This window comes from Homo sapiens, chromosome 6 (assembly GCF_000001405.40).
Source record: "Homo sapiens chromosome 6, GRCh38.p14 Primary Assembly".
Taxonomy (NCBI): domain Eukaryota; kingdom Metazoa; phylum Chordata; class Mammalia; order Primates; family Hominidae; genus Homo; species Homo sapiens.
The window spans coordinates 149,618,136-149,633,077 of record NC_000006.12 but is presented as its reverse complement, the minus strand read 5'-3'; the positions used below and the strand labels follow the sequence as shown (position 1 = coordinate 149,633,077).

General features: G+C 41.8%; 1 protein-coding gene across 6 annotated transcripts in view; it reads left to right on the top strand.

The window, feature by feature from the left end:
* KATNA1 (katanin catalytic subunit A1) overlaps positions 1-14,942 on the top strand; it is a 54,118-nt gene that overhangs the window by 15,913 nt on the left and 23,263 nt on the right. For all 6 annotated transcript variants that reach the window (XM_047418111.1, XM_005266804.3, NM_001204076.2 and 3 more), the window contains 2 exons: positions 162-319; positions 9,795-9,975. In XM_047418111.1, coding sequence (XP_047274067.1) covers positions 162-319; positions 9,795-9,975 — 339 coding nt within the window. The remainder of the gene's footprint in view (positions 1-161; positions 320-9,794; positions 9,976-14,942) is intronic.

Below are 14,942 nucleotides of genomic sequence, written 5' to 3'. Positions count from 1 at the left end.
ATAAACTGTTATTAACATTTTGATAGAATATCTTGATGTGGTTTACTGGATATCTGATATCAAAATGGAGTTTTGTAACATCTCTAGTAAATGGCCCTCATTTAATTTTGACAGTGATATATTATAGAAATTTAAACATCCATCTTCTTCTTTGAAATCAGGTTTGGCAGGAAATAAATGTGGAAGCTAAACATGTTAAAGATATCATGAAAACACTAGAGAGCTTTAAACTGGACAGCACTCCCTTGAAAGCGGCACAGCATGACCTTCCAGCTTCTGAGGGAGAAGTCTGGTCCATGCCTGTACCTGTTGAACGAAGGTAAGTGGAAACCTTTTAAGAAACCAGTTATCCCAAGAAGCTTATAGCATTGATTATATTTAGGAGGAGGATGGGGTGGCTGAGAGACAGGAATGGGAGGGAGTTTTCTTTACTGAACGTTCTCTCTTTTATAACTCACTGGTCTTGAACCTTGTGCCTTTTTGACCTATTTCAAAAAATAAGATTTAGGTAGGAATAATTTAAAAATATGCTTTTGTGAATGACCTTACAGTGGTAGAGACAGTGTTATCTTGTGGAAGGAGAATGGGGTTAGGAATTGAAATATCCAAGCTCCGTGTCTGTCTTTGCCACTCTCTGTAGCTTTGGGAAAATAATAAAACCTTTTTAGGCCTCAGATTTTTCTTTTTTTTCTTTTTTTTTTTTTTAGACAGAGTCTCACTCTGTCACGAGGCTGGAGTGCAGTGGCACGATCTCGGCTCGCTGCAATCTCTGCCTCCCGGGTTCAAGTGACTTCCCTGCCTCAGCCTCCTGAGCAGCTGGGACTACAGGCACACACCACCTGTATTTTAGTAGAGACGGGGTTTCACCATGTTGGCCAGGCTGGTCTCGTTCTCCTCACCTCGTGATCCACCTGCCTCAGCCTCCCAAAGTGCTGGGATTACAGGCCTGAGCCACCGTGCCCAGCCAGGCCTCAGATTTTTCTTACGCAAAGAGAGGAAGTTAGACTAACAGTGGTTCTCAAACAGGGATCACAGAATACTTCTTTTCATCAAGCTATAATGAAAAATGGAAAATTTTTCTAAATTTGCTAAAATTGAAAAAATTGGCTTTTTAATTCATAGAGAACAGTAAAAATAAAATGTTCTGAATTTTAGGGTTTTCTCTGGCTTTTTTTCCCCAACTTCCTACTACCAAGTGCCAGCAGATGAACAACTAGTGATACTGATATTTACTGAAATACTGTAACTAGCCAATCATGCATAGTTTTACTGCACATTTTTCAACTGACAAGTGTGCAGGTGGATGTTATCTATTTCACTTACATAATAGATTTCCTAGTTTGTATTATAGATTTAAATATTGACTGTGTCATGCCTTTCTAGAAAGAACACTTATGACTTCCCAGGTTCATTGCCCGTTAACCTTGCATTAAGATGTTGATCAGATTGTTTTCAGTTTTAACATTTTGTCATTGCAACTCTGATTACTTGTGTTTTTTTTTGTTTTTTTTTTGTTTTTTTTGTTTTTTTAAGACTAGTTAAGGGCAGTAGTGAGAAGGAGGGGAAGAATAGAACAAGGAGTTTGATCTGTAACTGACTGTGAACAATCAATTGAGATAACTCACTACATTCGGACCAGCCTTGGTTACATTTTATTTTATTTTATTTATTTGTTTTTTGAGACGGAGTCTCACTCTGTCACCTGGGCTGGAGTGCAGTGGCATGATCTCGGCTCACTGCAACCTCTGCCTCCTGAGTTCAAGCAATTCTCCTGCCTCAACCCCCCAAGTAGCTGGAATTACAGGCACCTGCCATCATGCCCAGCTAATTTTTTGTATTTTTAGTAGAGACAGGGTTTCAACATGTTGGCCAGACTGGTCTCGAACTCCTGACCTCGTGATTCACCCACCTTGGCCTCCTAAAGTGCTGGGATTACAGGCGTGAGCCACCACACCCGGCCTGGTTGTATTTTATAATACAGGTACTGCATTATACACCCACAGTGTCCTGAACTATTTTAGGCTATAGGTGTTATTTTATTGCAATAAGCCTTCCAAATAAGTCATATTTTCCCTGTATTTCAGATAAGACAGCTGAGGTACAATAAGGTTGGGTAACTTTTCCCCACTATCACAAAACTGATAAATGGTAGAGCTAGGATTTGAACCTAGATATATTGTGTTTTATAATAATGATTACAAAGCTGGCACTCTCTGCTGTAGCAGTCCTAACAATCTCTAATTAAAAACGTGGATTTAGGGGCATCACTCCCAGAGAGTCTGATATGGTAGATAGCAGGTAGAACTCAGGAATCTGCCGGTGATTCTGATGTCGGTGGTCCATAGGCCACATTTTGAGAAGACCCATACCATCATGTTCTTGACATTTAAAATCAATTAATGAGTACTGATTATTTCTTAGCCACTTTTATTTTTATTTTTATTTTTTTTGAGACAGAGTCTTGCTCTTTCGCCCAGGCTGGAGTGCAGTGGCGCTATCTCGGCTCACTGCAACCTCCGCCTCCCGGTTCAAGCAATTCTCCTGTCTCTGCCTCCCAAGTAGCTGGAATTACAGGCACGTGCCACCACGCCCGGCTAATTTTTGTATTTTTAGTAGAGACGGGGTTTCACCGTGTTGGCCAGGCTGGTCTTGAACTCCTGACCTCAGGTGATCCACTCGCCTTGGCCTCCCAAAATGTTGGGATTATAGGCGTGAGCCACCGCACCCAGCCGCAACTTTTATTTTCTTAATCTCCACATAAAAGGACTGTACTAATGTTCTGTTACTGACTCCTGATATCCTTTGGATATTTACTAAATTTTTCCCTTGCCTCATACGCACTTTCACATAATTACATTTCTTGTTATAGTACATAATAGTTCACTAAAGCACAGTAGCTCATTAAAGAAAAATAGAAAAATTCATTGAAGTAGGGGGAAAATCACATAGTCATCCTAGCTTGTTTCCTTCTGTTCTTTTATGCATTATTTTCATAGTTGCAGGTGTGCTATATCCATAATTTACAACATTGTACCCTCTTTTAAGAAAAATCCTAATAATAGTCAACAATCATTGCATATTACTGTGTGCCAGGTACTGTGTTTGTTGTTTTACATGTATTATTTAATTCTCAAAACCACCTTAGAAGGTAGGTACTAATTTTTTTAGCCCCAATTTCTGATGAGGATAAGCTAAGATAGGTTAAGTAATTTGCTCTTCATATTTTAAACATTTATGATTTATATACCATGTCAGATCTTTTTCTCTGCAGTTTTTTAAGAGTTATTTGCCACTGTTCTGACTGGTATGTAACCTATATATAGTTAACCATGCTCTTAATGTTTTTTCCCTTCTTTTTTCATTATTATAAATAAAGTTGCACTGAATGGTTGTAAAAATTTTTCCACATTTATAATTTTTTCCCCTAATTTCAGAAGTAGAACTAATAGATGAGTCAAGTTGTGTTTTTGCTTTTGTCTGTTAATTTGTTTTATTCTTATTTACTTGCTCTTTTCTCCTTCTGGAGAATCATCACTTGGGTCTTGTATTAGTCTGCTTGGGCTACCACAATAAAATACCATACACTGGGTGGCTTAAACAACATACATTTGTTTCTCACACTTCTGGAGGCCGGGAAGTCCAAGATCAAGATGTGGCCAATTTGGTTCCAGGTGAGGGCTCTCTTCCTGAGCAGACAGCCACCTTCTGTCTGTGTGCTCACATGACAGAGAGAGTGAGTAAGCTCTTTCACATCAGGGACTCTTACTTACTTCCTTACTCCTAATATTCATATTGCGCACTGGGGCTTTAACATATGAACTTTGGGGAGGACACAAACATTCAGCCTCTAACAGTCCTGTAACTCCTCTCAGTTATTGGTAAGATCTTTCCAACAAATAGATGTTCCCAGTGGGAAATCAGTTGATTCTGAATTTAATGAAGTATTTGGTCACCTCAGTCTCACAAGCAGAGAGGGAGGATTTCCTCTGAGGGGTGGTGGGAAGTTAAGCCCTAAATGGTGTTCCTTCTTATTGCTTCTCGCTTTCTTCTGTATCGTTTTCTGTTCCTGATTTTGAATGCTCTAGATTACTGGTAAGTTTTCCTCTTTGACTTTATTTGTGGCATCTGTTTCTTCCTATAATTTATTTTACTTGCTCTCTTAACTGGGCATCTTTTAATATTCTTTTTATTTTTCTATTAGTCTTTATTTGTACTCATGCTTAAGAGGGTCATTCTTTTTTTTTTCTTTTTTTTTTTTGAGATGGAGTCTCGCTCTGTTGCCCAGGCTGGAGTGCAGTGGCACAATCTCAGCTCACTGCAACCTCTGCCTCCCAGGTTCAAGCAATTCTCCTGCCTCAGCCTCCCATGTAGCTGGGACTACAGGTGTGTGCCACCATGCCCGGCTAATTTTTGTATTATTAGTAGAGACGGGGTTTCACCTTGTTGGCCAAGCTGATCTCGAACTCCTGACCTCGTGATCCACCTGCCTTGGCCTCCCAAAGTGCTGGGATTACAGGCGTGAGCCTATGCTCCCGGCCGAGAGTCATTCTTTCTTCACCTATGTTGGTGATCCTAACCTTATGATCAGCTAAATTTTAGTACCATTAAAGAACAGATTCAACTGATCCAGTATTCTCTTCTAGAATTGTACACAAAAAATGTGAGTACAGGCCAGGCACGGTGGCTCACGCCTGTAATCCCAGCACTTTGGGAGGTCGAGGCGGGCGGATGCCAAGGTCGGGAGTTCGAAACCATTCTGCCTAACACAGTGAAACCCCGTCTCTACTAAAAATACAAAAAAAAAAAAAAAAAATTAGCCGGGCATGGTGACAGGCACCTGTAGTCCCAGCTACTCTGGAGGCTGAGGCAGGAGAATGGCGTGAACCCAGGAGGCGGAGCTTGCAGTGAGCCGAGATGGCGCCACTGCACTCCAGCCTGGGCGACAGACACTCCGTTTCAAAAAAAAAAAATGTGAGTACAAGGAGGTTCATTAAAGCCTTATATAGAAAAGGTTAGACATAGCTTAAATGCCACTAGATGTGACATTCTTTTCAAATGTCAGCTGATGTCCCTCAAATATCTTCCCATCTCACAGAATAAAACCCAGAGTTTTCATGTCTTTCAAGCCCTATGAGACCTGGTTCCCCACAGCCTCTGGAACCTAAGTTCTTACAGCTCTCTCCCTCAGGCACTGTGCTGTGGCCTTGAACAAGCCCAGCCCACAAATGCTTCACTCCTTTCACCTGCCTTTCCCTCAGCTCCAGTGCTGAATGACCTGTTCCCTTCTTTCATTTAGGTCTCTACTCAGTTGTCACCTCAGAAAGTCTGTCTCTGACTTTGCCACCTAAAAACCACCCCTGATGATCCTGTAGCCCCTTTCCCTTCTCTTTTTTTTTGAGACAGAGTCTCACTCTGTCACCCAGGCTGGAATGCAATAGTGCATCTCAGCTCACTGTAGCCTCCACCTCCTGGGTCCAGGCAATTCTAATGCCTCAGCTTCCTGAGTAGCTGGAATAATTACCCAACAATTTTTTTTTTTTTTTTTTTTTTGAGATGGAGTCTCACTCTGTCGTCCAGGCTGGAATGCAGTGGTGTAATCTTGGCTTACTGCAGCCTCCCAAGTAGCTGGGATTACAGGCATGCACCACCACGCCCAGCTAATTTTTTTGTATTTTTAGTAGACAGGGTTTCGCCATATTTGCCAGGCTAGTCTCGAACTCCTGACTTCAAGTGATCTGTCCGCCTGGTCTTGAACTCCTGACCTCAAGTGATCCACCTGCCTTGGCCTCCCAAAGTACTGGGATCACATGTGTGAGCCACCACGGCCAGCCAAATTTTTGTATTTTTAGTAGAGATGGGGTTTCTCCATGTTGGCCAGACGGGTTTCAAACTCCTGACCTCAAATGATCCACCTGCCTCAGCCTCAAAGTGCTGGGATTACAGGCATGAGCCACCATGCCTGGCCCCCTTCTTTATTCTTCTTGATAGCACTTAATATTACCTGATGTACTGTTTCATGCACTGCTTATACACACACACGTATGTAAGTCTATGACAGTAAGGGTTGTTGTTGAAATTATTATTATTATTTTTTAAGATGGAGTCTCACTCTGTTGCCCAGGCTGGAGTGCAGTGGCATGACCTCAGCTCACTGCAACCTCCGCCTCCCGGGTTCAAGCGATTCTTCCGCCTCAGCTTTCCAAGTAACTGGGATTATAGGCGCCTGCCACCAGGCCAGGCTAATTTTTGTATTTTTAGTAGAGACGGGGTTTTACCATGTTGGCCAGGCTGTTCTCGAACTCCTGACCTCAGGTGATCCACCTGCCTCAGCCTCCCAAAGTGCTGAGATTACAGGCGTGAGCCACTGCGTCCAGCCAGATGGTGTATATTTGCACATACCCTGCACACATCCTCCTGTATGCTTTAAATCATATTTAGATTACTTGTAACACCTAATACAATGTTATATGTAACATTGTATGTAAAAGTAAATGTTGGCCGGGCGCGGTGGCTCACGCCTGTAATCCCAGCACTTTGGGAGGCCGAGGCGGGCGGATCACGAGGTCAGGAGATCGAGACCACGGTGAAACCCCGTCTCTACTAAAAATACAAAAAATTAGCCGGGCGCAGTGGCGGGCGCCTGTAGTCCCAGCTACTCGGGAGGCTGAGGCAGGAGAATGGCGTGAACCCGGAAGGCGGAGCTTGCAGTGAGCGGAGATCGCGCCACAGCACTCCCGCCTGGGCGACAGAACGAGACTCCGTCTCAAAAAAAAAAAAAAAAAAAAGTAAATGTTATATAAATAGTTGTTTCACTATATTATATAGAGAGTAATGACAAAAAAAGGTTTGTACATGTTCAGTACCGACTCAACCATCTTTATTTTCAAAATATTTTTCATTGGCAATTGGTCGACTCCACATTGTGGAATCTGCAGATATGGAAGGCCAACTATACTTTATTATATGTCAGTGTCTATTTTGTATTATTTCTCTAGCAAAGGGAAAAATACATACACAGAAATACTTCCTGAATCCAAAATTGAACCCCCATCATTGCTTCACATACACGTTAGTTTGGTGTTATCATCCTCCCAAATTCTCATTCTCAACTTTCCACATCTGGGAGTGTCTTTTTTTTTTTTTTGAGATGGAGTCTCGCTCTGTCACCCAGGCTGGAGTGCAGTGGCGTGAGCTCGGCTCACTGCAACCTCTGCCTCCTGGGTTCAAGCGATTTTCATGCCTCAGCCTCCCAAGTAGCTGAGATTACAGGTCCACAGCACCATGCCCATCTAATTTTTGTATTTTTAGTAGAGACGGGGTTTCGCCATGTTGGCCAGGCTGGTCTTGAACTCCTGACCTCAGGTGATCCACCTGCCTCGGCCTCCCACAGTACTGGAATTACAGGCGTGAGCCACCGCACCCAGCCTAGGAGTATCTTTTCTTTCTTTTTGAGACAGTCGTGGTCTGTTTCCCAGGCTGGAGTGCAGTGGTGCAATCTCGGCTGACTGCAACCTCTGCCTCCTGGGTTCAAGTGATTCTTTTGCCTCAGCCTCCTGAGTAGCTGGGATTACCAGTGCGTGCCACCACACCCAGCTAATTTTTTGTATTTTTAGTAGAGATGGAGTTTTGCTATGTTGGCCAGGCTGGTCTCGAACTCCTGGCCTCACATGATCTACCCACTTCAGCCTCCCAAATTGCTGGGATTGTGAGCCACCGTGCCCGGCCTGAAGTGTCTTTACTACTAGAGTGTCTCTGAGACTCTTCTCATTGTTACTCCCTTAAACTAGGCCCTCATCTCATGTCTCAGTGATATTTGTAATCACAAACATCTCACTGCTTTCTGTGTTTTCTTTATCAGTATATCATGTTCAGTATTAGACTAATCTTTCTAAAATGTTTTCAGTGGATCCTTGTTGGCAGTTAGCTAAAAGCTAAGCCTCTTGAACTGGTATTCATATCTTCTATGGACCGAACCATTTCTGCTCAGTATTATCACTTAATGTTCAGCATTATGTGTTAGACTGGTGTCTTTATTATCCTTTACATGGATTAAGCTCATTTTTGTTTCTTTGCTTTTCTTTACTGATGTTCTGTCTATAATTGTACCCTCTTGTTTAGTTCAACTCCTGCATTTCCAGTCCCAGTTTCTTTTCTGTCTTCATGAGGCCATTCCCATTGCCATGGTGCTAGGTCTGTTTCACACCATCTAGTATACGTGCCTAGCTTTACATAGCTTCTGTCTGTTTAACTATACTGTGGTTTATTTGAGAATAGGACTCCTTTTTTGTTTGTTTGTTTTCCCCCTTGTAAATGGCTGCAACCAAATCTGGGAGCAGAGTAGGAGCCTAACAGATATTTGAGAAGTCTGAATTCTGTTATAGAAATAAGGATGAAATGAGGACCAACACAGGGGCTCACGCCTGTAGTCCCAGCTCTTTGGGAGGCCAAGGTGGGAGGATCGATTGAGCCCAGGGGTTTGATACTAGCCTAGGCAACATAGTGAGACCTTGTCTCTACAAAATACAAAAATTAGCCTTGTGTGGTGCCATGTGGCTGTAGTCCTTGCTACTCGGGAGGCTGAGGTGGGAGGATTGCTTGAGCTTGGGAGGTCAAGGCTGCAGTGACAGAGCAAGACCTTGTCTCAAAAAATAATAATAATAAAAAATAAATACATAAAGGTGAAATGAGGTGATGTATGTAAATGTAAAGCACTGAACATGAGTTCTAGTAACTGTTCATAGCTAGTGCTATATCAGTTTTTTAAATGGGAAAATGATTAAATTTTATTAATTAAAACACAAAAATTATGGTATAGATTGAGCTTCCCTGATCCGAAAATTCAAAGTGTTTCAAAAACTGAAACTTTTTGAGCACCAACATGACACTCAAAGGTCATGCCAAAGGAAGTGCTCATTGGGACATTTTAGATTGTGGATTTTCAGATTAGAGATGCTCAGCTGGTATGTATATGGAAATATTCCAAAATCTGAAAAAATCCAAAATTCAAAACACTTCTGGTCCCCAGAATTTTGAATAAGGGTTACTCAATCTGTATATTCTAAATAAATGGTACCAAATTACATACATACCATTGGATAAATGTGAATTGAATACTTGTATTGTATTCTGGTTGTCTCGATAAAACTCTCTTCTCTGATAATTTTTTTTCAGTTTCCAACAATCAGATGCATTCATCTTTGATATACAACAATTTCCTTTCTAAGTAGAGGTGACCATTACTTCCCCTCCATTATTTCTGTAATATAACTATACTGCATTCCTTTAATTAAATCACCAACAGATATATCAGATTTAAATTTTATTTTATTTTTATTTTTTTGAAACGGAGTCTCGTTCTGTTGCCCAGGATAGAGTACAGTGGCATGATCTTGGCTCACTCCAGTCTCCACCTCCCAGGTTCAAACGATTGTCCTGCTTCAGCCTCCCGAGTGGCTGGGATTACAGGTGCACACCACCACGCCTGGCTAATTTTTTGTATTTTTAGTAGAGACGGGGTATCAACATGTTGGCCAGGCTGGTCTTGAACTCCTGACCTCAAGTGATCCACCCACCTTGGCCTCCCAAAATGCTAGGGTTGCAGGTGTGAGCCACCGCGCCTTGCCCAGATTTAAATTTTAGATCTTAGGTTTCAACATCCTGAAGTTTATTCAGTCGTGTCTTGTGTTCAGTTGTTGCATTGGCTTCTTTAGTTCATAGACTCTTAACTTACACAGTATGTGTGTTCATCCATATGTGGAGTTGATTATGATATTAATGAGTTTTTGTTTGATTAGACCCTCACCAGGACCTAGAAAACGCCAATCTTCTCAGTACAGTGACCCTAAATCACATGGTAATCGTCCAAGTACAACTGTCAGAGTTCACCGTTCATCTGCACAGAATGTTCACAATGACAGAGGGAAAGCTGTTCGTTGTCGTGAAAAGAAAGAACAGAATAAAGGAAGAGAGGAAAAGGTAAATGTTAATTGATTTTTATAAATGAAAGTTATTTTTGAACCGTAAAAATGAAGACTGTACAAATTTATTTATTTTTTCTTTTTTTCCTTTTTTGAGACAGTCTCACTCTGTCACCCAGGCTGGGGTGCAGTGGCATGATCTTGGCTCACTGCAACTTCCACCTCCTGGGTTCAAGCAATTCTCATACCTCAGCCTTCCGAGTGGCAGGGATTACAAGTGGGCGCCACCACATCGAGCTAATTTTGTATTATTAGTAAAGATGGGGCTTCAGCAAGTTGGCCAGGCTAGTCTCGAACTCTTTACCTCAGGTTATCTGCGCGCCCCACCCCCCGCCCCCCTGCCAGGCCTCCCAAGGTGCTGGGATTACAGGTGTGAGCCATTGTGCCCAGCCCAAATTTCAATAAGCTGTAGTCATCAGTTTGCCAGCGCTCTAATAAAACCTTAGTTATACTACATCTAGGCTGGGATTTTCCCCACTTGCAATTCAACAAATATTTTGGCTTTTTTTGGTAACTTTATATTGTGATATAATTTCAGACTAGCAGACAATTTGCAGGAATGGTATAAGGAACTTCCATATATACTTTACCTAGTTTTACCAATTATTAATATTATGCCCCTTTTGACTTATCATTTTATTTTTCTGTATACCCTTTTCCTGAACCATTTGAGACTAAGTTGTATATATAATGCTCCTTTAACCTTCAATATTTCAGAATGTATATCCTGAGTACTAAGACATTCTTTTACGTAAAAACAACACAATTATTGGCTAACACAGTGAAACCCCATCTCTACTAAAAATTAGCCGTGGTGGCGGGCGCCTGTAGTCCCAGCTACTCAGGAGGCTGAGGCAGGAGAATGGCGTGAACCCGAGAGGCGGAGCTTGCAGTGAGCCGAGACCGCGCCACCGCACTCCAGCCTGGGCGACAGAGCGAGACTCCGTCTTGAGGAAAAAAAAAAAAAACAAAAAAAACACAGTTATCAAAAGCTGTAAATTTTACATTGTTATAGTACTGTTCATCTAATCCACAGACCTTTATAAAATTTTGCCAATTATCCCAATAATGTCATATAGAGATTTCCCCCCTTCTGTCCCCGCTAGGTCAGATTACAATGTAGAAGGACACATCGAATTTAGTTATCATGTTTCTTTAGCCCCTTTTAATACAAACATCTCAGCTTTTGCCTTTCTCGGACTGGAATTTTTGAAGAATTCAGGCCAGTTATTTTGTGGAATATTCCTCAGTTTGGGCTTGCCTGATACTTCCTCAGGATTAGATTAAGATTATTCATTTTTTTTTTTTGGCCGGGCATGGTGGCTCATGCCTGTAATCCCAGCACTTTGGGAGGCTGAGGCGGGTGAATCACTTGAGGCCAGGAGCTCTAGACTAGCCTGGCCAACATGGTGAAACCCTGTCTCTACTAAAAATACAAAAATTAGCCGGACATGTTGGCAGGCACCTATAATCCCAGCTACTGGGGAGGCTGAGGCCAGAGAATCACTTGAACCCGGGAGGCGGAGGTTGCAGTGAGCTGAGATCACACCACTGCAGTCTAGCCTGACCAACAGAGCGAGACTCAGTCTCAAAAAAAAAAAAAATTATTCATTTTTGGCAGGCATACCATTGGTATGATGGTTTTTTTCTCTCAGTGTATCATATAAGAAGGCACAGGGCCGGGCGCGGTGGCTCACGCCTGTAATCCCAGCACTTTGGGAGGCCGAGTTGGGCGGATCACGAGGTCAGGAGATCGAGACCATCCTGGCTAACACGGTGAATCCCCGTCTCTACTAAAAATACAAAAAAATTAGCCAGGCGAGGTGGCAGGCGCCTGTAGTCCCAGCTACTGGGGAGGCTGAGGCAGGACAATGGCTTGAACCCGGGAGGTGGAGCTTGCAGTGACCTAAGATCGCGCCACTGCACTCCAGCCTGGGAGACTGAGTGAGACTCCATCTCAAAAAAAAAAAAAAAAAAGAAGGCATAGGATTTCTGTTTGTCCTATTACTGGTGATAAGTTGGATCGCTTGGTTAGGTGGTGTCTGCTTGGTCTCTCCACAATAAACTTACCATTTGACCCTTGTAATAATTTGTGGGAAGTACTTTGAGACTATGTAAATACTCTGTTTCTCATCAATATCTCATCTGCTAGTTTTAGCACCCAGTGATTCTTGTCTGAATCAGCTATTTCTGCACTGACTGCAAAATCATAATTTTCTAATGCCAGTGTTGCTTCTATATTAATTATAAAAGCTGAGTGTAGATGTTGCTTTGGTTTTTAAAAATTTTTGTTTGTTATTTTTAATTTGACACATAATAATCATACATATTTATGGGGTACACTGTGATAATTCAATACACATATACAATGGGTAATGATCAAATCAGAGTAATTAACATATCCATCACCTCAAACATTTATCATTTCTTTGTGTTGGGAATATTCAAAATCTGTTCTTCTAGTTATTTGAAAATGTACCATAAGTTGTTTTTAATTACAGTCACCTGGCTGGGCATGTTGGCTCACTCCTGTAATCCCATCACTTTGGGAGGCCAAGGCGGGCAGATCACTTGAGGTCAGGAGTTCGAGACCAGCCTGGCCAGCATGGTGAAACACTGTCTCTACTAAAAATACAAAAAAAATTAGCCGGGGTGGTGGCACACACCTGTAATCCCAGCTACTTGGGAGGTTGATGCAGGAGGATTGCTTGAGCCTGGGAGGCGGAGTGAGCCAAGATCGCGCCACTGCACTCCAGCCTGGGAGACAAAGTGAGACTCTGTCTCAAAAAAATTAAAAAATAATAGTCATTACAGTCACCCTATAGCACTATAGAACACTAGAATTCATTCCACCTATCTGGCTGTACTTTTGTATTTGTTAACCAATGTCTGATACACCCACCTTCCCCTACCCATCCCAGCCTCTAGTAACCATTATTGTACTCTGTACGTCTATGAGATCAACTTTTTTAGCTTCGTCATGAGTGAGAACATGTGTTATTTATCTTTCTGTGCCTGCCTTATTTCTCTGAACATGATATCCTCCAAACTCATCCATGTTGCCATGAATGACAGAATTTCATTCTTTTTTGTGGTTACGTAGTATTTCACCATATATATGTATGTATGTATGTATGTATATGCATGCCACAGTTTCTTTATTCATTCATCTGTCGATAGGAACTTAGGTTGATTCCATGTCTTGGCTATTGTGAATAGTGTTTATAATAGTATGGCGGTTCCTTAAAAAACAAAAACTAGAACTACCATATAATCTAGCAATCCTGATTCTGGGTATATCCAAAGGAAGGGAAATGAATATGTCAGACATATCTGCACTCCTATGTTCATTAATCCTATTCCTCCCATGAGGAACCTCCATACTGTTCATAGTGGCTATATCATCTTACATTTCCAAGAACTTTGTATATGAATTCTTTCTCTAAATCCTCACCAGCATTTGTTAGTTTTTGTCTTTTTTTTTTTTGTGGAGACAGTCTCACTCTGTTGCCCAGGCTGGAGTGCAGTGGCATCATCTTGGCTAACTACAACCTCCGCCTCTCAGGTTCAAGCAGTTCTCATGCCTCAGCCTCCTGAGTAGCTGCAACTACAGGCACACGCTACCACGCCTAGCTAATTTTTTGTATTTTAGTAGAGACGGGGTTTCACCATGTTGCCCAGTCTGGTCTCGAACCCCTGAGCTCAGGCAGTCCACCTGCCTCAGCCTCCCAGAGTGCTGTGATTACAGGTGTGAGCCACCACGCCCAGCAGTTTTTGTCTTTTTGCTTACACCCATCCTAATTAGGGCAAGATGGTATCTCATGGTGGTTTTGATTTGCAATTCCCTGATGATTAGTGACATTGAGGATTTTTTTTTCATATGCCTCTTGACCATTTATATGTCTTCTTTTGAGAGATGTCTATTCCAATTCATTTACCCATTTTTTAATTGGATTATTTGTGGGGGGTTTTTTGCTCTTGTTTGAGTTCTTTGTATATTCTGGATATTAATCCCTTGTCAGATGAATAGTTTGCAAATATTTTCTCCCATTCTACAGGTTGCCTCTTTATTCTTTTAATTGTTGCCTTTACTGTGCAGAAGCATTTTAGTTTTATATAATCACATTTGTTTAGTTTTGCTTTTGTTGCCTGTGCTTTTGAGGTCTTCCTAAAATCTTGGCCCAGACCAATGTCCTGAAGCATTTCTCCTACATCATCTTCTAATAATTTCATAGTTTCAGGTGTAAACGTTTATATCTTTAATTTATTTTGAGTTGGTTTTATATATGGTGAGAGTTAGGGGGTCTAGCTCCTTATTTCTGCAAATGGATATCTAGTTTTCTCAGCACCACTTATTAAAAACACTGCACTTGCTCCAGTGTATGTTCTTGGTGCTTTTGTTGAAAATCAGTTGACTGTAAATACATGGATTTCCGGATTCTCTATTCTGTTCCATTGGTCTGTATGTCTGTTTTTATGCCAGTACCATGCTGTTTTGGTTACTAGAGCATTGCAGTTTAGGGTCAAGTAGTGTGATGTCTCCAACTTTGTTCCTTTTGCTCAGGATCTCTTTGGAGTCTTTTGTGGTTCTCCTTTTCTATTTCTTTTTTTTATTTTTTTTTTGAGACGAAGTCTCGCTCTATCACCCAGTCTGGAGTGCAGTGGCAGGATCTCGGCTCACTGCAACCTCCACCTCCCGGATTCAAGCAATTGTCTCTGCTCAGCCTCCTGAGTAGCTGGAGTTATAGGTGCCCACTACCATGCCCGGCTAATTTTTCTATTTTTAGTAGAGACGGGGTTTCACCATGTTGGCCAGGCTGGTCTTGAACTCCTGACCTCAGGTGATCCGCCCGTCTCAACCTCCCAAAGTGCTGGGATTACAGGAGTGAGCCACTGTGCCCAACCAATTTTTTTTCTTTCTTTCTTTTTCCTTTTTTTTTTTTTTCTGAGATGGAGTCTTGCTCT